Genomic DNA, 20785 nt, shown 5'->3' with positions numbered 1-20785 from the left:
GGAGGCAGAGGCAGGTGGATCACGAGATCAGGAGTTCAGGACCAGCCTGGCCAACATGGTGAAACCGCGTCTCTCCTAAAAATACATAAATTAGCTAGATGTGGTGGTGGGTGCCTGTAATCCCAGCTACTTGGGAGGCTGAGGCAGGAGAATCGCTTGAACCCAGGAGGCAGAGGTTGCAGTGAGCTGAGATCGCACCACTGCACTCCAGCCTGGAGACAGAGCGAGACTCTGTCTTAAATAAATAAATAAATAAACAAACAAACAAACAAACAGTACTCTTCATCAGCTGAAGTAGCAGAAAAATCACCTAATAATAAGTAATGCAGACATTTAATACATTTCTTAGCAGGAAGCCTGGCTCATCCCATCCTTTCGTTTTTCTTTAGCCAGTAGGCAATGTCACCTATTTTGGTCACATAGTAACTGCAGGAGCACAGCACTTCACATTATCACACAACAACCTCTATCAAGGATAATTATAAACTTTGAAATGAGCAAAAAAGAATACTGCATTTCCTGTCTACTGTACCCTTTTAGCTTTCATTGTCTTTCAGCTACTTTATAATTTTGTAAATTATAAAACACTGAAAATATTACACATGATTTTTGTCCACAGAAATGCAAATGAATTGTGTCCAGTGGAATGCACTTATCAACTTTTATATATAATGGTTTTGCAACAATTTGTAAATTTATTTTAACATTTCTGAGGTGTGCTTTTTAAATTTTCCGTTGAATCATTTGCAACATTGTATTTGTTTCCTTATTAATGATATTTGTGCTCTTTTTATATTTGTATGACAGTTATGATTTTACCTTTTTATTTTTTTATTATATTCTAACACTTCTCAGGAAGCAAGGAAGAAGTACAGGGCTAGCTATTCTTAGAAGACATTTCTCTCTTTAAAAAAAAATATTAGTATTATATTGACTAATAATATATTTTCACTTCCATTGGCCAATATATTTCCTGATTTTCTTAATGCAACAAACTTTCCTCTAGCCTCCTTTTCAACTTTTGATTTTTTAGTTTTCATTTAATAGAAGCATAATAGTTATACACATGTATTAGGTACATGTGATATTTTGATACAAGAATACAATGTATAATGATAAAATCTGGGTAATTGAAATATCCATCACCTCAAACATTTATCATTTCTTTGTGTTGAGAACATTCCAGATCTTCTCTTCTGGCTATTTCCAAGTACACAATAAATCATTGTTAACTGTAGTCACCCTATGGTGCTATCAAACTCTAGATCTTATTTCTTCTACCTAACAATGTATTTGTGCCCATTAACCAACTACTATTCTTCCACCCCTTCCCACAACGCTTCCCAGCAATCAAAGCAAAAACTGACAAATGGGAAGACATCAAATTAAAATGCTTCTACACAGCAAACAGTCAACAAAGTGAAGAGACAAACTATGGAGTGGGAGAAAATACTTGAAAACTATTCACCCAACAAGGGATTAATGACCAGAATATAGATAAGGAACTCAAGCAACTTAATAGAAAAAAGAAAACCTCCAAATAATGTGAATTTAAAAGTAGGCAGAAAGTCTGAATAGACGTTTCTCTTTTTATGAAGGAATATTGGTCAGACCTGGCTCACATGGCCATCACTAACTTTAGGGGAGAGTGCCAAATTATTTGTCATTTTCAAACTCTGTGGTAGGAGCCTAGGAAACAAGATGGATGGGTGTGAATGTGTGTGGCTTGGGATCGCCCAGCTCATAGAGTTGTGTAGAAGAGTTCCTTGAGCTTCTGCCTGAAATCCTTCTCTCCAGAAGTTGCAGACTAAGTTTTGGAGCCTAATTTCTTAAGGAAAAAAAAAAAGTCTTAGACATAACTTATGCAGTTCTCTAAATAGTCTTCCCTCTTAGATACGTGTGCATTCTTCTAATCTTCCCAAATTTCCCCAACCCCATAAGTAGGCTTTTGGTAAGTTTGCCACCTGAGCTCATCAAGCATGTTTGGTCTTGCCTCAAAAGTGGTGGTAAATACAGCTTGCACTTAAGGTTGGAGTTCTGATGCCCTGGTAAGAAAAACAGCACCATCTTCTTCCTGGAGGTAGCTCACCAGGTGGTGGGAATAGGAGCAAGGAGGAATGGAAACGTGAAATTTGCTTCCAACACTAATAGAGTAATAACGACTGGCACAAAAAGAAGAATTCTGAAAAAACAAAGAAGATACCAGATTTATACTGTCAAGATGACTCAACCAAAATTTAATCTCTATGGTCTCAGTTTTGTCATCTGTAAAATAAGTGTTGAGTTAGATAAAACCTGTGAACTTGCAGTGAAATATGACATGATTTTACACTATTTAATTTTTTCCGGTACCATTCTTTAAAACATAGAGTAATAAAGCTGACCATTAAACTAAGCAAGAGGTATAGAGAAGCTGCCAAATGTAAGATTATTATATTTTTCTCAGCAAATGTTTCCCAATCAATCCAAACTAAAATTGTGAGATACCAAGTCATGTTAGAGAGAATGTCGGGCAGGGCCATTGCCTCTAACAACTGTGTGACATTAGTAAACTTACCTTGTCTTAGCCCCAAGTCCAGAGGGCTTAGACTTAATACCTAATGTCTCTTCTAGCTCTGAAATATTATGCTGTAGGATGTGCTTCTTTCTAGCTCTCATGTTTTCACTAGAGTCTCAACAAAGAATTAATGTTCAAAGTAACACTTCTCTCCACTGCCTTTTAAAGAGGAAAACACAGTCTGATGATAAAAGACAAACATAAGAAGATCAAAAAGCATGCATTTCAGTTTATTATATCAGCCTTTATCAGGCAAGTGCATTCTTGAAGATCTAGAACAAGTTTGTTCAACCCATAGCCTGTGGGCCACATGTGGCCCAGGACAGCTTTGAATGTGGCTAACACAAATTCATAAACTTTCTTAAACATTATGGGATTTTTTTGTGTTTTTTTTTTTTTTTTTAGTTCATGAGTTATCATTAGTGTTAGTGTATTTTATGTATGGCCCAAAACAATTCTTCTTTTTCCAATGTGGCCCAGGGAAGTCAAAAGTTTGGACACCCCTAATCTAGGTAATTGATCATAAAACCCTGAATTAGCAGCTTACTATTTCTTGTGTGTCAGTTCAAGTAATTGCTATATATATGTGTGTGTGTGTGTATATATATATATATATATATATATATTTTTTTTTTTTTTTTTTGGGATGGAGTCTCTCTCTGACACCCAGGCTGGAGTGACATGGCGCAATCTCGGCTCACTGCAACCTCTGCCTCCCGGGTTCAAGCGATTCTCCTGTCTCAGCCTCCCGAGTAACTGGGATTATAGGCACAAGCTGCCGTGCTCAGCTAATATTTTTGTATTTTAGTAAAGATGGGGTTTCACCGTGTTGCCCAGGCTGGTCTCAAACTCCTGAACTCAGGCAATCCACCTGCCTCAGCCTCCCAAAGTGCTAGGATTACAGGCATGAGCCACTGTGCCCGGCCTTGTTGCAATATATTTTTAAAAACCTTGAATTTTAAACATTAATCATATTGAAATTGTAGTCACATATAATATTTTTATATACAGGAAAATACATACTACAAAAAAATGGAAATCTGCTAACTAATGTTGATAGAATAAAGCCAGGCCCCAAAATAGACACGTCATATGATTCCATGGATATAATGTTCAAAAACAGGCAAAAGTAATATGCAGTGTTAGAAGTCAGGATAGTGCAGAGGGTGTAATGACTGGAAGGGGACAAAAGAGGAGGCATGTATGATGCTGGTGATGTTTTACTTCTTAATCTGGATGCTGGATATACTAGGATGTTCATTTCATTGAAATGCATTAAGCTGTACACCTATGATTTGTGCATTTTTCTAGGTTTTTATTATGCTTCAATAAAAAATATTTTAAATGGGTAAGTACTATGTTGATCTATTGAGATTCAGAGAGTGAATAAGAGTGTTCATTTTTATCATTTTAGACATGATTTAGTCAGGAATGATTTAATTATCTTTTATCATTAATCAAGAGGGAATATATGATTAACATTTCCTAATTTTTTAATACTAAGATAAGTTACGTACAAATATTTAAAGTGGTTTTCTGAGTAGTTAGATTGTGGCTAGTTTTTATTTTCATCTTTCTAATTTTTTATAGTTTCTAAATTCTCTACCTCAGACATGCGTTAATTCTATATCCATAAAATCTATATTTATACAAAACTTACTTTTACATAAAAGAAAATAAATTAACACAAAATAATTGTTAGAGGAGAGGCTTTCTTTTGTTAGAAAGTCTTCACATATGGTGGACAGATGGTCAGAAGCTACTGAGACCGATTTATTTTTCAAGGTGAAAACTACATATTGTTGATGCTGCCTTTTCTTTTTGTAACTGAAGAATTTTAACAACATATATGGCACCAAAATATAAGAAAGACCATGTAGTTTTCTGGCGATCACTATTTTTGTCCAACTTCAGAGGCTTGCCCAAAGAACTTTTGTAGCTTCATAAAAACAATTTATGACTCTAATGCATTTGGTGAGGAATCTACACTCATGGTGTAGTTGGTACAGTTTGCTCATTTCAATAGCACCTAATACTCCTTTCCTTTTATGTGCCGGGCTCTCTTGCTAGAGAATTAGAGATGTCTTATTCTCATGCTAATGACACTTAGAGAGAATTACGTTGGGCCACTCGTGGTTGATATTAAATATTTTACTGTGTGACTGTTTAAATCTCTAAATGTAGACTGAGCATATAAATTATTTATTTAAAAAAACTGCTATAGATGCTGAGCATTAGCCTTTGTCATTCCTTCTCACTTTTCTCTTCCTTCCAACTTTTCTGCTCTGTATTCTATTATTACCACACCCCCTCCCCAAGCTCTGCATATTGCTTGTAGATTACAAGTCTGTGATGAATCAACCCCTTGGTCAACATGAACAAGAGTCAAGGGTGGTAACTAACGTTACCCCCAGGGAAAGTTTGTGTGGAAACAAACCACAAATAAGAGTACTAATTAGAATAACTATGACCATTATGATTTTAAGTAACAGCATGGTATTGCAGTTGTGCTAGTATCCAGAGCTGTCACATTTGCAAACAGCATAATTACATAGGTTAAGATTTAGAAGTATTACCAACTATGGAAAATGGAATGTTTCTTTAAACCCAGGATATATATACATCCATATACATCCAGAATATTATGGTGTCGCAGAAATCTGACTAATACACAAAGTTTAAGGATTCTGCCAAGAAAAGAAGATTGAAATTTTCAGACTGGGCACTGTGGCTCATGCCTGTAATCCCAGCACTGTAGGAGGCTGAGGAGGGTGGATCACCTGAGGTCGGGAGTTCAAGACCAGCCTGGCCAACATGGAGAAACCCTTTCTCTACTAAAAATACAAAAATTAGCCAGGCACGGTGGCGTGCACCTGTAATCCCAGCTACTTGGGAGGCTGAGGCAGGAGAATTGCTTGAACTCAGGAGTTGGAGGTTACAGTGAACTGAGATCGTGCCACTGCACTCTAGCCTGGGCGACAGAGTAAGACTCCATCTCAAAAAAAAAAAAAAAAAAAGAAAAGAAAAGAAATTTTTAGTTAAAAATTTTTTATTATTCACTTACAATCTCAAGAAAGTATTTCTTTGTATACAGACCGACTGACTTCTCTGATGATAAGAAATAGTCGTGATAATTATATTAATAATAATAATGGAATACTCTTCTGATTATTTGCAAATAGCAAGTAACTTAATCCCCTAAGACCTATATGCATGAGTGACTACTACTACTCTCATTTCGCAGCTTAAAATACTAAAACACATAGAGATTAAGTAATTTGCCCAAGGTTACACATAGTCAGCAGCAGGGCTAGGATGTGAACCCAGGCAGTCTGGATTTGAAGCCTGTGCTGTTAGATATCAGGCAACATATCATAAATTAGCACTCTTCTATTTGTGCTGTGAATCCATTCAAGTTTTGTAGGAAGGAAGAGTCTTTACAGCATATTCAGAGAAAAGTCTTCATCGTTATTCATCTATTGCTTCAGAGGGCTTCTCTGTTCATGTTTATGACACACGAATGGCTCATACATAGAATTTGGCCTTATGTAACTACAAGGTAAACGTCAATTTGTCAATGGAAACACCTCCTTCACAAGCTGAAGGTCACAGAAAAATACCATCCTGGACTGGGAAGCAATGCTGTCTGAAGCACTGAGGAATTCAGGTGGTGAGTGTAGAGGAAATTAAGCTGCGTAGCACTGTGCCGCCTGACAGAATACGCTCTCTTACAGTTGGAGCTGCAATAGTTTGAATTCGCTCTCTTTCCTGGTTGATGCTAGGTGTCTGAGTACCTATTCTGAGCCCTGTCTGACTTCTGGTTGTTTTTTGAGAATAATAAATATTCTAACATAAATATGTTGGATACTGAACATGAATATGGAACTGTTTCAGGAGGAAAGAATGGAAAACTGGAATCTGCAAATAACTGTGAAAATACTTAGAACAAATCTCTTTCAATATGCCTATGAACAACCTGGGAATCTTGCTACTATGCAGAGATTCTGATTTAGTAGGAGTGGCTGATTGTAAACATGGCCACAGTTCTGCATCTCTCCTTATGCCCATGTCCTTCACAACATGACTCTGCAGCCCCTACCAACAAGGGATAGAAGCTCTTTGCCTTCTATCTGAATCTACTTTGGCCTGTGGTTTGCTTTAACCAACAGAATATGACGAAAGTTACATTATGCTACCTCTAGGCCATTTCCTTTCTTAGAATGTTACAACTGGGGGGAGGAGCCAAGATGGCCGAATAGGAACAGCTCTGGACTACAGCTCCCAGCGTGAGCGACGCAGAAGACGGGTGATTTCTGCATTTCCATCTGAGGTACCGGGTTCATCTCACTAGGGAGTGCCAGACAGTGGGCGCAGGCCAGTGGGTGTGCGCACACTGCGCGAGCCGAAGCAGGGCGAGGCATTGCCTCACCTGGGAAGCGCAAGGGGGCAGGGAGTTCCCTTTCCGAGTCAAAGAAAGGGGTGATGGACGCACCTGGAAAATCGGGTCACTCCCACCCGAATATTGCGCTTTTCAGACTGGCTTAAAAAACGGCGCACCACGAGACTATATCCCACACCTGGCTCGGAGGGTCCTACGCCCACGGAATCTCGCTGATTGCTAGCACAGCAGTCTGAGATCAAACTGCAAGGCGGCAGCGAGGCTGGGGGAGGGGCGCCCGCCATTGCCCAGGCTTGCTTAGGTAAACAAAGCAGCCAGGAAGCTCAAACTGGGTGGAGCCCACCACAGCTCAAGGAGGCCTGCCTGCCTCTGTAGGCTCCACCTCTGGGGGCAGGGCACAGACAAACAAAAAGACAGCAGTAACCTCTGCAGACTTAAATGTCCCTGTCTGACAGCTTTGAAGAGAGCAGTGGTTCTCCCAGCACGCAGCTGGAGATCTGAGAACGGGCAGACTGCCTCCTCAAGTGGGTCCCTGACCCCTGACCCCCGAGCAGCCTAACTGGGAGGCACCCCCCAGCAGGGGCAGACTGACACCTCACACGGCAGGGTATTCCAACAGACCTGCAGCTGAGGGTCCTGTCTGTTAGAAGGAAAACTAACAAACAGAAAGGACATTCACACCGAAAACCCATCTATACATCACCATCATCAAAGACCAAAAGTAGATAAAACCACAAAGATGGGGAAAAAACAGAACAGAAAAACTGGAAACTCTAAAACGCAGAGCGCCTCTCCTCCTCCAAAGGAACGCAGTTCCTCACCAGCAACGGAACAAAGCTGGATGGAGAATGATTTTGACGAGCTGAGAGAGGAAGGCTTCAGACGATCAAATTACTCTGAGCTACGGGAGGACATTCAAACCAAAGGCAAAGAAGTTGAAAACTTTGAAAAAAATTTAGAAGAATGTATAACTAGAATAACCAATACAGAGAAGTGCTTAAAGGAGCTGATGGAGCTGAAAACCAAGGCTCGAGAACTACGTGAAGAATGCAGAAGCCTCAGGAGCCGATGCGATCAACTGGAAGAAAGGGTATCAGCAATGGAAGATGAAATGAATGAAATAAGCGAGAAGGGAAGTTTAGAGAAAAAAGAATAAAAAGAAATGAGCAAAGCCTACAAGAAATACAGGACTATGTGAAAAGACCAAATCTACGTCTGATTGGTGTACCTGAAAGTGATGTGGAGAATGGAACCAAGTTGGAAAACACGCTGCAGGATATTATCCAGGAGAACTTCCCCAATCTAGCAAGGCAGGCCAACGTTCAGATTCAGGAAATACAGAGAACGCCACAAAGATACTCCTCGAGAAGGGCAACTCCAAGACACATAATTGTCAGATTCACCAAAGTTGAAATGAAGGAAAAAATGTTAAGGGCAGCCAGAGAGAAAGGTCGGGTTACCCTCAAAGGGAAGCCCTTCAGACTAACAGCGGATCTCTCGGCAGAAACCCTACAAGCCAGAAGAGAGCGGGGGCCAATATTCAACATTCTTAAAGAAAAGAATTTTCAACCCAGAATTTCATATCCAGCCAAACTAAGCTTCATGAGTGAAGGAGAAATAAAATACTTTACAGACAAGCAAATGCTGAGAGATTTTGTCACCACCAGGCCTGCCCTAAAAGAGCTCCTGAAGGAAGCGCTAAACATGGAAAGGAACAACCGGTACCAGCCTCTGCAAAATCATGCCAAAATGTAAAGACCATCGAGACTAGGAAGAAACTGCATCAACTAACGAGCAAAATCACCAGCTAACATCATAATGACAGGATCAAATTCACACATAACTATATTAACTTTAAATGTAAATGGACTAAATCCTCCAATTAAAAGACACAGACTGGCAAATTGGATAAAGAGTCAAGACCCATCAGTGTGCTGTATTCAGGAAACCCATCTCACGTGCAGAGACACACATAGGCTCAAAATAAAAGGATGGAGGAAGATCTACCAAGCAAATGGAAAACAAAAACAGGCAGGGGTTGCAATCCTAGTCTCTGATAAAACAGACTTTAAACCAACAAAGATCAAAAGAGACAAAGAAGGCCATTACATAATGGTAAAGGGATCAATTCAACAAGAGGAGCTAACTATCCTAAATATATATGCACCCAATACAGGAGCACCCAGATTCATAAAGCAAGTCCTGAGTGACCTACAAAGAGACTTAGACTCCCACACATTAATAATGGGAGACTTTAACACCCCACTGTCAACATTAGACAGATCAACGAGACAGAAAGTCAACAAGGATATCCAGGAATTGAACTCAGCTCTGCACCAAGTGGACCTAATAGACATCTACAGAACTCTCCACCCCAAATCAACAGAATATACATTTTTTTCAGCACCACACTATACCTATTCCAAAATTGACCACATAGTTGGAAGTAAAGCTCTCCTCAGCAAATGTAAAAGAACAGAAATTATGACAAACTATCTCTCAGACCACAGTGCAATCAAACTAGAACTCAGGATTAAGAATCTCACTCAAAGCCGCTCAACTACATGGAAACTGAACAACCTGCTCCTGAATGACTACTGGGTACATAACGAAATGAAGGCAGAAATAAAGATGTTCTTTGAAACCAATGAGAACAAAGACACAACATACCAGAATCTCTGGGATGCATTCAAAGCAGTGTGTAGAGGAAAATTTATAGCACTAAATGCCCACAAGAGAAAGCAGGAAAGATCCAAAATTGACACCCTAACATCACAATTAAAAGAACTAGAAAAGCAAGAGCAAACACATTCAAAAGCTAGCAGAAGGCAAGAAATAACTGAGATCAGAGCAGAACTGAAGGAAATAGAGACACAAAAAACCCTTCAAAAAATCAATGAATCCAGGAGCTGCTTTTTTGAAAGGATCAACAAAATTGATAGACCGCTAGCAAGACTAATAAAAAAAGAGAGAAGAATCAAATAGACACAATAAAAAATGATAAAGGGGATATCACCACCAATCCCACAGAAATACAAACTACCATCAGAGAATACTACAAACACCTCTACGCAAATAAACTAGAAAATCTAGAAGAAATGGATACATTCCTCGACACATACACTCTCCCAAGACTAAACCAGGAAGAAGTTGAATCTCTGAATAGACCAATAACAGGAGCTGAAATTGTGGCAATAATCAATAGTTTACCAACCAAAAAGAGTCCAGGACCAGATGGATTCACAGCCAGATTCTACCAGAGGTACAAGGAGGAACTGGTACCATTCCTTCTGAAACTATTCCAATCAATAGAAAAAGAGGGAATCCTCCCTAACTCATTTTATGAGGCCAGCATCATTCTGATACCAAAGCCGGGCAGAGACACAACCAAAAAAGAGAATTTTAGACCAATATCCTTGATGAACATTGATGCAAAAATCCTCAATAAAATACTGACAAACCGAATCCAGCAGCACATCAAAAAGCTTATCCACCATGATCAAGTGGGCTTCATCCCTGGGATGCAAGGCTGGTTCAATATACGCAAATCAATAAATGTAATCCAGCATATAAACAGAGCCAAAGACAAAAACCACATGATTATCTCAATAGATGCAGAAAAAGCCTTTGACAAAATTCAACAACCCTTCATGCTAAAAACTCTCAATAAATTAGGTATTGATGGGACGTATTTCAAAATAATAAGAACTATCTATTACAAACCCACAGCCAATATCATACTGAATGGGCAAAAACTGGAAGCATTCCCTTTGAAAACTGGCACAAGACAGGGATGCCCTCTCTCACCGCTCCTATTCAACATAGTGTTGGAAGTTCTGACCAGGACAATCAGGCAGGAGAAGGAAATAAAGGGTATTCAATTAGGAAAAGAGGAAGTCAAATTGTCCCTGTTTGCAGACGACATGATTGTTTATCTAGAAAACCCCATCGTCTCAGCCCAAAATCTCCTTAAGCTGATAAGCAACTTCAGCAAAGTCTCAGGATACAAAATCAATGTACAAAAATCACAAGCATTCCTATACACCAACAACAGACAAACAGAGAGCCAAATCATGAGTGAACTCCCATTCACAATTGCTTCAAAGAGAATAAAATACCTAGGAATCCAACTTACAAGGGATGTGAAGGACCTCTTCAAGGAGAACTACAAACCGCTGCTCAATGAAATAAAAGAGGATACAAACAAATGGAAGAACATTCCATGCTCATGGGTAGGAAGAATCAATATCGTGAAAATGGCCATACTGCCCAAGGTAATTTACAGATTCAATGCCATCCCCATCAAGCTACCAATGACTTTCTTCACAGAATTGGAAAAAACTACTTTAAAGTTCATATGGAACCAAAAAAGAGCCTGCATCGGCAAGTCAATCCTAAACCAAAAGAACAAAGCTGGAGGCATCACACTACCTGACTTCAAACTATACTACAAGGCTACAGTAACCAAAACAGCATGGTACTGGTACCAAAACAGAGATATAGATCAATGGAACAGAACAGAACCCTCAGAAATAATGCCGCATACCTACAACTATCTGATCTTTGACAAACCTGAGAAAAACAAGCAATGGGGAAAGGATTCCCTATTTAATAAATGGTGCTGGGAAAACTGGCGAGCCATATGTAGAAAGCTGAAACTGGATCCCTTCCTTACACCTTATACAAAAATCAATTCAAGATGGATTAAAGATTTAAACGTTAGACCTAAAACCATAAAAACCCTAGAAGAAAACCTAGGCATTATCATTCAGGACATAGGCGTGGGCAAGGACTTCATGTCCAAAACACCAAAAGCAATGGCAACCAAAGCCAAAATTGACAAATGGGATCTAATTAAACTAAAGAGCTTCTGCACATCTGCACAGCAAAAGAAACTACCATCAGAGTGAACAGGCAACCTACAACATGGGAGAAAATTTTTGCAACCTACTCATCTGACAAAGGGCTAATATCCAGAATCTACAATGAACTCAAACAAATTTACAAGAAAAAAACAAACAACCCCATCAAAAAGTGGGCGAGGGACATGAACAGACACTTCTCAAAAGAAGACATTTATGCAGCCAAAAAACACGTGAAAAAATGCTCATCATCACTGGCCATCAGAGAAATGCAAATCAAAACCACTATGAGATATCATCTCACACCAGTTAGAATGGCAATCATTAAAAAGTCAGGAAACAACAGGTGCTGGAGAGGATGTGGAGAAATAGGAACACTTTTACACTGTTGGTGGGACTGTAAACTAGTTCAACCATTGTGGAAGTCAATGTTGCGATTCCTCAGGGATCTAGAACTAGAAGTACCATTTGACCCAGCCATCCCATTACTGGGTATATACTCAAATGACTATCAATCATGCTGCTATAAAGACACATGCACACGTATGTTTATTGCAGCATTATTCACAATAGCAAAGACTTGGAACCAACCCAAATGTCCAACAATGATAGACTGGATTAAGAAAATGTGGCACATATACACCATGGAATACTATGCAGCCATAAAAAATGATGGGTTCATGTCCTTCGTAGGGACATGGATGAAATTGGAAACCATCATTCTCAGTAAACTATCGCAAGAACAAAAAACCAAACACCGCATATTCTCACTCATAGGTGGGAATTGAACAACGAGATCACATGGACACAGGAAGGGGAATATCACACTCTGGGGACTGTGGTGGGGACGGGGGAGGGGGGAGGGATAGCATTGGGAGATATACCTAATGCTAGATGACGAGTTAGTGGGTGCAGCTCACCAGCATGGCACATGTATACCTATGTAACTAACCTGCACAATGTGCACATGTACCCTAAAACTTAAAGTATAATTAAAAAAAAAAAAAGAATAATAGCAGAAGCTGTAAAAAAAAAAAAAAAAAAAAAAAAAGAATGTTATAACTACCACGGAATAAGCCCAAGCTAACCTGCTGGAGAATGAGAGGCCACATGAAAGAAAACCAAGGTACCCCAGATGATAGTCAAACATCTAGAAGCAGAGCCATCTGGCTCACCTGCTGGTTACTGTAGTAGATGCATGAGGGAACCTAACCAGGATGATAAGAACCTCCTGGCCAATCCATATACTCATGAACAATTATAAATGACTGTTGTTTTAAGCCACTGTGTTTTGTGGTAATTTACTGCACAGTGATACTTTACTGATATAGTAGGTCTAGACTGGGGTTTGATATCCTACATTTCAAACAAGATCCAAGATGTTACTGATGCTGCTGATTCGTGAACCACACTGAGTAGCAAGGCTCTGGGACAGGAAGTGGAAAACTATGTAGCCTATGCCCCAAATTCAGCCTACAGCTTGTTTTTGTATGACCAGTGATCTAAGTAAGAAAAGTTTTTATATTCTGAAAGAATGAAGGAGAAGGAGGAAGAAGAAGAAGGAGAAGGAGGAAGAAGAAGGAGAAGGAGAAGAACAAGAAGGAGAAGAAGAAGAAGAGGAGGAAGAAGAAGAAGAGGAAGAGGAGGGAGAAGGAGAAGGAGGAAGAAGAGGAAGAAGAAGAGGAAAGAAGGAGGAGGAGGAGAAGGGGAGGGAAAGGAGCAGGAGGGGGAGGAGAAGAGAAGGAGGAGAAGAGCAGGAGGAGGAAGGGGAAGAGGAAGAGGAGGAGGAAGGGGAATAGGAGGAAGAGGAAGAGGAGGAAGGGGAAGAGGAGGAGGAGGGGAAAATGGGAGGAAGAAGGAGAAGAGAGGAAGAAGAGTCATAGAATACGTAGCTCACAAATCCTAAAATATTTACCAATATTTACTATCTGACACTTTAGAAAGTTTATCCACTCTATTCTAAGATATACTAAGAATCCTTTACCTTGCAAAATATAAATAGACTTTAAATCTTTACATGGGTTCTGGGTTGTGCATTCAGCTTTATATGCCCTGGACATCCAGACATTTAGAAGTTCCACACATGTTTGGAGTGTTGATGAATAATATAATGAATGAATGAATGCACCAGTTTTCCTGGACTGACATTCCAGGCAGCCATCCTTATCATCACCCTCCTGTAATGATAGAAAAATATAGCAAATCTTTGCCTGGAACATATACAACAAAGCTTCTCTTTCAATGACACCTCCATGGCAATGTTCCATCCTCCCTTTATGTCTCACAATACAGGAATTCAAAAGAATTTTGCTTAAGTGGCCAAGTCTTTGCTAAAGTTGCCCTCTTAATAGATTTTAGCACCTCCTTGAAATTCTCTGGGCAGTACCCCTCTCCTATTATCAAAGTGGTGGCTAAGACATTAAAGTGAGAGAAGAGGTAAAGTCTAGGTCTAAAGTCAAGTCAGAAGTGAGGTAAAGCCAGGCACAGTGCCTCATGCATGTGATCTCAATGCTTTGAGAGGTCGAGGTGGGAGTCTTACTTGAGCTCAGGAATGGCAACCAGCCTGGGCAACATAGTGAGACAACATCCCTAATTTTTTTTTTTTTTTTAATTAGCCAAGCATGGTTGTGAACACCTGTAGTGCTAGCTACTAGGGAGGCTGATGCAGAAGGATCATTTGAGTCCAGGAATTTGAGGCTGCAGTGAGCTAGGATCACACAACTACTCTCTAGATTGGACACAACAGAGCAAGACCCTACCTCTTAGCACTTTGGGAGGCCGAGTGACTAGCCAGGCCAACATGGTGAAAGCTCATCTCTACTAAAAATACAAAAATTAGCCACACGGTGGTGGGTGCCTGTAATCCTAGCTACTTGGGAGGCTGAGGCAGGAGAATCGCTTGAACCCGGGAGGCAGAGGTTGCGGCGAGCCAAGATTGCACCACTGCACTCCAGCCTAGGCGACAGAGTGAGACTCCGTCTCAAAAAAACAAACAAACAAAAAAGAAGTGAAGTGAGGTGGAGGGAGGATTAGTTATATTAACAGAGAAAATAGTAAAGGGATGAGGTACAATGTGCTGCTGATGAATTTTGCATTTTAGTGAACTATGTATGAGTATGTTTATGTGTATATATACACATGCACACACACATATTTTGCATGAATTTCAGTTTTCTGGAAATCATACTGTACATGAATCCATGTAAGGTTTGCAAATCTAAATTCAATATTGATAACAGCTTTAAATCCTGTCCTTTCAACTTCCTCTGTATAATTATACCAAATAAAAACTCAACAGCCACACAGATGTGTTAGGATTGGGAGCCTGTAGCTCTGACTCAAGGTTCAGGGAATATTGTCATAAAAATGAAGAGATTGAAATTATCATTGCAGGAGAAGAGAAGAATGGATTTAGAAAAAGGAATTCGATCCCCAAGTGTTCTCACCTACAAAAAGGAATCATGATGGCTCCTACCTCAGAGGCTGGGGTGAGATTTACATGTGTGTCTCCTCTCAGAAGAGTTTCTGACTCACAGAGCATGTCCAATCAACTACAGCTGCACTGCTGCTCACTCATCTCCTCCTCCTAGGGGTGGCCCTGTACCTACTGAATTCTGCCTGAGCCTTGAGAACGTGCATTTTTAGTAGCATTAATAGCCATTGCTTTGGCCGTAGAAAATCTCTAATTACTAACTACTATGAATTCTGACTGTCTTGAGTGTCGTCAGCCTTGACTAAGGATGTGCAAAGACTGGGCTCCTTCCTGAGCTGTTTAGGGAGGGTTGAGCTGTTGTGTGTGTAGCAACTGCCAGCTCTCGCCCAAGCTCTCCTCATTAACAAACGAATGCATCAAAATGCTAGAGGAAATTGTAGCTATATTCCCCAGTTTAATTGGCTCAGGTGATCTGTGACTCTGTAATATCCCTGCATTGGAGAAAAGTGGGGAAGCTCCAGTAGTTCTTTCTGTGGAGATATATTACCTTGTTCAGGAAAAGTACCCAGGGTGACATTCATTAGTAGCCTGTGTGTCTGGGGAGAAGGATGGAGGAAAAGTAGCCAGAGGAAGGGCACGCTAGTTCCCATGGAAACAAACATAACAACCTGACCAACTGATTCGACTCTATAATTTTAAGGAATTTCCTTCTTAACTGGGCTCCAAAATTCCCTGGGAGGGAAGTCTAGAACTAATTTATGTACATTATGGGCTTTTCTATTTCCCCGAAGATCAAAGCTAGCCAAGTAGAGCTGAAGTAAAGATTAAGTATTTGGTGAAGCATTGGGGGAGAAGTATGAATCTATCGTTCTGTTGGGAGCAATAATTTCTTACTGTATAAAAAGCCAGAGTGAAAAGTGGAGTGAGATAGTGAACTTTAAAAATCCTATTGTCTGCCTGCTTCTTCACTCTCCCATGCTGGTTAACTTCACTCCACTTTCCTCCCAACATTACAGAGTTAATGAGCATCATAGCCCTTAATAGCAGACATACACTCAGATACACACACACACACGTATACCTTTTAAAACACAATTCCACTCCCTCAAAGCTATTAATGTCAATAATTTCTCTTTTAACTATTTTTAATACTATCCGATCTATGAATTTTGTTAGTTCTATGGTTATTTGCTTTTAAAATGTGGAATCTATTCAGTAAGTATAATAATATCTGTATGTATAAATATATACTATTAATCAAGTAGTGTGATTGAACTAATAGAAAATTACATGTAATCCTTGGCCATTAAACTTTACCATTCATTAAGAGGAAAATCGTTTAAGGGTAAAAGACCAAATGGATCCTCTTTCAATTTCTGCTGAAGGTCATTCATTTATACTGGAAGAGGCAGGACTGCAGAGTGGTTAAGAGTACATAGCTCTGGAGCTGGCCAGACCCTGGCTCCAACACCAGCTCAGAGAACATGGTGGGGACATGTAAGCTTTCTGCACCTTACATAGGGAAAATATCAGTACCTATCTTGTTGATTTATTTTGAAATTAGATGTTTGCTGTCATGACTAATCACTGCTTCTGATTATCACAGCTTCTTGTCATTTATCACAACTTCTTGTGTCCTATGTCATCTTCTTTCTTGAAATTTTTTACGTTTAGTTTCCATATTCCTAAGTATTTTGTTTATGCAGTCATTTAATACTAGTGTCTGAGTCTATATATTATCCACTGAGTTCCTTGTATGGAAACAATAGGTGCTGGAGAGGATGTGGAGAAATAGGAACACTTTTACACTGTTGGTGGGACTGTAAACTAGTTCATCCATGGTGGAAGTCAGTGTGGCGATTCCTCAGGGATCTAGAACTAGAAATACCATTTGACCCAGCCATCCCATTACTGGGTATATACCCAAAGGACTATAAATCATGCTGCTATAAAGACACATGCACACTTATGTTTATTGCGGCACTATTCACAATAGCAAAGACTTGGAACCAACCCAAATGTCCAACAATGATAGACTGGATTAAGAAAATGTGGCACATATACACCATGGAATACTATGCAGCCATAAAAAATGATGAGTTCATGTCCTTTGTAGGGACATGGATGAAATTGGAAATCATCATTCTCAGTAAACTATCGCAAGAACAAAAAACCAAATACCGCATATTCTCACTCCTAGGTGGGAATTGAACAATGAGAACACATGGACACAGGAAGGGGAACATCACACACCGGGGCCTGTTGTGGGGTGCGGGGAGTGGGGAGGGATAGCATTAGGAGGTACACCTAATGCTAAATGACGAGTTAATGGGTGCAGCACACCAGCATGGCACATGTATACATATGTAACTAACCTACGCATTGTGCACATGTACCCTAAAACTTAAAGTATAATAATAATAAAATAAAATAATAAAAAAAGGTGCAGACTTCAAAAAAAAAGAAAGAAATTTTTGCTCTTACAATTTCCCCTTACAGTAGAAATACATAGACACAATGCTTCCATGCTTCCTATGTAGAGACATCACCAATTACTAACTCTACATTTAGTACTTTTATTTATATGAACAATTTAGTATCAACAGCTAAGCTGTGTCATGTTCTATATTTATGTTTCCTTTATTGTTTAATTCCCTTCCCTCCTCTCATTCTTCCCTCATCTTTTGGCTTATGTACATACCTACCACCAATTCAGGCTCAAACCCCTTGAAGGAATTGTAAATCTTCTGGCAAGTTAAGCAAACACACCGTAATATCCAGCAACTTTGTTACCTCCTCTACCCATTCACTCCCTCACTTCTCATAGGGTCATCCTGGTCTGCCTGGTCAAACGAAGATATGTATACAGGTGGCTGCAGAGCTGTCCTCCCAAGATCTCCTCTTACCCGTTTTCTAGAACACTTTCTCTCTGTCCTTTACTAGCATTTATGTTTCCTAGATTCCATGTCTTTTTTCTTGGTTTGCTTTTGTGTTTTAGTGCAAGACAATATCTAGTCATTCCTAAGAAAGGGTACGCGAGAGGTAGATTTTTTAAAGGCTTAAAATATTTATTTTCCCATCACATTTAAATCACTTTCACTTACTGGGTATCATTTCCCTCAGAATTCTGAACATAATATTTTTTTTTTTTTTTTTTTTTTTGAGACTGAGTCTCGCTCTGTCGCCGAGGCTGGAGTGCAGTGGCACGATCTCAGCTCACTGCAAGCTCCGCCTCCCGGGTTCACACCATTCTCCCGCCTCAGCCTCCCGAGTAGCTGGGACTACAAGAGCCCGCCACCACGCCAGGCTAATTTTTTGTATTTTTAGTAGAGACGGGGTTTCACCATGTTAGCCAGGATGGTCTCGATTTCCAGACCTCGTGATCCGCCCACCTCGGCCTCCCAGAGTGCTGGGATTACAGGCGTGAGCCACCGTGCCAAGCCCTGAACATAATTCTTTACTGTCTTTCAGCCTCTAATGTTGCTGGGGAGAAGTCTAATATCATTTGGATTCTGACTTCAAGAAGAATAGAGCTGTTCATTCTGAGTGTGTGTGTGTGTAAGTGTGTGTGTAAGTGTGTGTTTGGAAGTTTCTATTTTGTGTGTCTTTCCATTTTCAGATATACTACTGGAATTTTTTCTTTAATAATTTCCTCTCTTTTTTTTTTCTCCATGGAACACTTACTATTTGACTGTGGACTTCCTGGATTGAAACTCTAATTTTGTTTGTGTGTTTTATTTTCTATGTTTGGGAGATTTCAATGGCTTTAGTTTTCAGTGTTTCTATTGCACTTTTTATTTCTGCGGTTAAACTTCTAATTTCAAGAAGTTTTGTCCTTATGTCCTTTTTAACATGTGCAATTTTTGTTTCATGAATGCATTTTCTTTTCAGATTTTTCACAGAATATTAATGGTTTGTACCTATATTGATGGCTATTGCTCCTACTGACAGCACTAATAGTAATACCATTTTATCCTGCTTAGCCCCCCACTGCCAGACAAAGTCTCAGCTCCATCCTGCCTTCTGTGTCAGTTACACTCATCCTCTGCTTCTCCTGTTTTTTCTTCAGCATCTTCTTGAGTTCTTTAACCATTTATTGTCATGCTAGGGGGTTCCAGGAGGAAGTAGAGATAACATGTTTTCAATTTTTAACTTAAAGACAGAACCCATGATACCTTGTAATTTTACTCCTGTAATATGTCTATGCATAAATAAGCTCCATTACACTTGGTGGAGGTGGGTGGACAGGAAGGGACTTTTGGGGTGTGTGTGTCTGTGTGTTGAGACGGGATTTCACTCTGGTCACCTAGGCTGGAGTGCAGTAGCATGGTCTCAGCTCCCTTCAACTTCCACCTCCCAGGCTCAAGTGATCCTCTCATCTCAGCCTTCTGAGTAGCGTAGCTGTGATTACAGGCTCGTGCCCTGATGCTGGCTAATTTTTTAATTTTTTTTTTGAGGTGAAGTCTCACTCTGTGGCCCAGGTTGGAGTGCAGGGACTCCATCTTGGCTCACTGCAACCTCCACCCCCCGAGTTCAAGCGATCACCATGTCTCGGCCTCCTGAGTAGCTGGGATTACAGGCTTGGACCACTACACCCAGCTAATTTTGTATTTTTTTAAGTAGAGACTGTGTTTCAACATGTTGGGCAGGCTGGTCTGGAACTCCTGACCTCAGGTGACCCACCCACCTCAGCCTTCCAAAGTGTTGGTATTACAGGCGTGAGCCACTGCTTCGGGCCTGAACTTTCTTTTTATTCATCAGCTTGAAAGAAAAGGACTTGCATTTTCATTGCTTTGTTTTTTTGTTTTTGTTTTGTTTTGTTTCCATTTCCATTGTGTCTCCCCTCTCCTGTAGTTAGCTCATTCTATGAATGTTTAGCATCCTGGTTACACAGTATCTTGCATATTTTGTTTACACTTCTCTCCTATTTTCTATTTTTCTCCTTAACCTCAAAAGATTTCCCTGAATTCATCTTTCATATTATTACCTTGATATTTAATTATACCCATTTTATTATGGACTGATGTTTTTATTTCTCATTGGACTTTTGTACCTATATTAAATTATTTTGATATTTAAAGAAATATGCTTCCACTGTGAAGAAATTGGAGAACATACTAAAAACTGTATACATTAAATCTATAATCACACTCTGGAGCCAATAATCTGTAACTCACATTCTAGAGTTAACATTTTGATAACAATTTGTATTACTTTAAGCACTCATGCATTTTATTTACTCATTTTTTACAAAACAGAATATGCAAACTAGTCTTTTTAACCTTATTTTTTCACTTAACAATGTAATATTGTCATTCATTCTCATAAACACATTGTTATTTACATTGCAATTTTTAGTAGCTATATAGCCTATCTTTGCTTAGATACACCATAATTCATTTTCCATTTCCTATTAATAGGTATTAAGACAGTTATCATTTTTTTCTTTATCATCAATGAATGTACTCACAAATAATTTTTCAGGGCTTTCCAAGTACTCTCCCTAAAAATCTTTTTATATATTGCCAGATTGC

General features: G+C 39.6%; 1 annotated feature.

Moving 5' to 3' along the window:
* Positions 7044-7695: an enhancer, noted in NCBI's record as "H3K27ac-H3K4me1 hESC enhancer chr8:36251221-36251872 (GRCh37/hg19 assembly coordinates)". NCBI's record gives its function as "activates a minimal SCP1, AML or CMV promoter by ChIP-STARR-seq in primed H9 embryonic stem cells {active_cell/tissue: H9 hESC(primed)}" and the evidence as "EXISTENCE:reporter gene assay evidence [ECO:0000049][PMID:30033119]".

The sequence above is a fragment of the Homo sapiens genome, chromosome 8 (assembly GCF_000001405.40).
Source record: "Homo sapiens chromosome 8, GRCh38.p14 Primary Assembly".
Classification (NCBI taxonomy): domain Eukaryota; kingdom Metazoa; phylum Chordata; class Mammalia; order Primates; family Hominidae; genus Homo; species Homo sapiens.
This window is presented reverse-complemented; position numbering and strand designations above follow the sequence as displayed.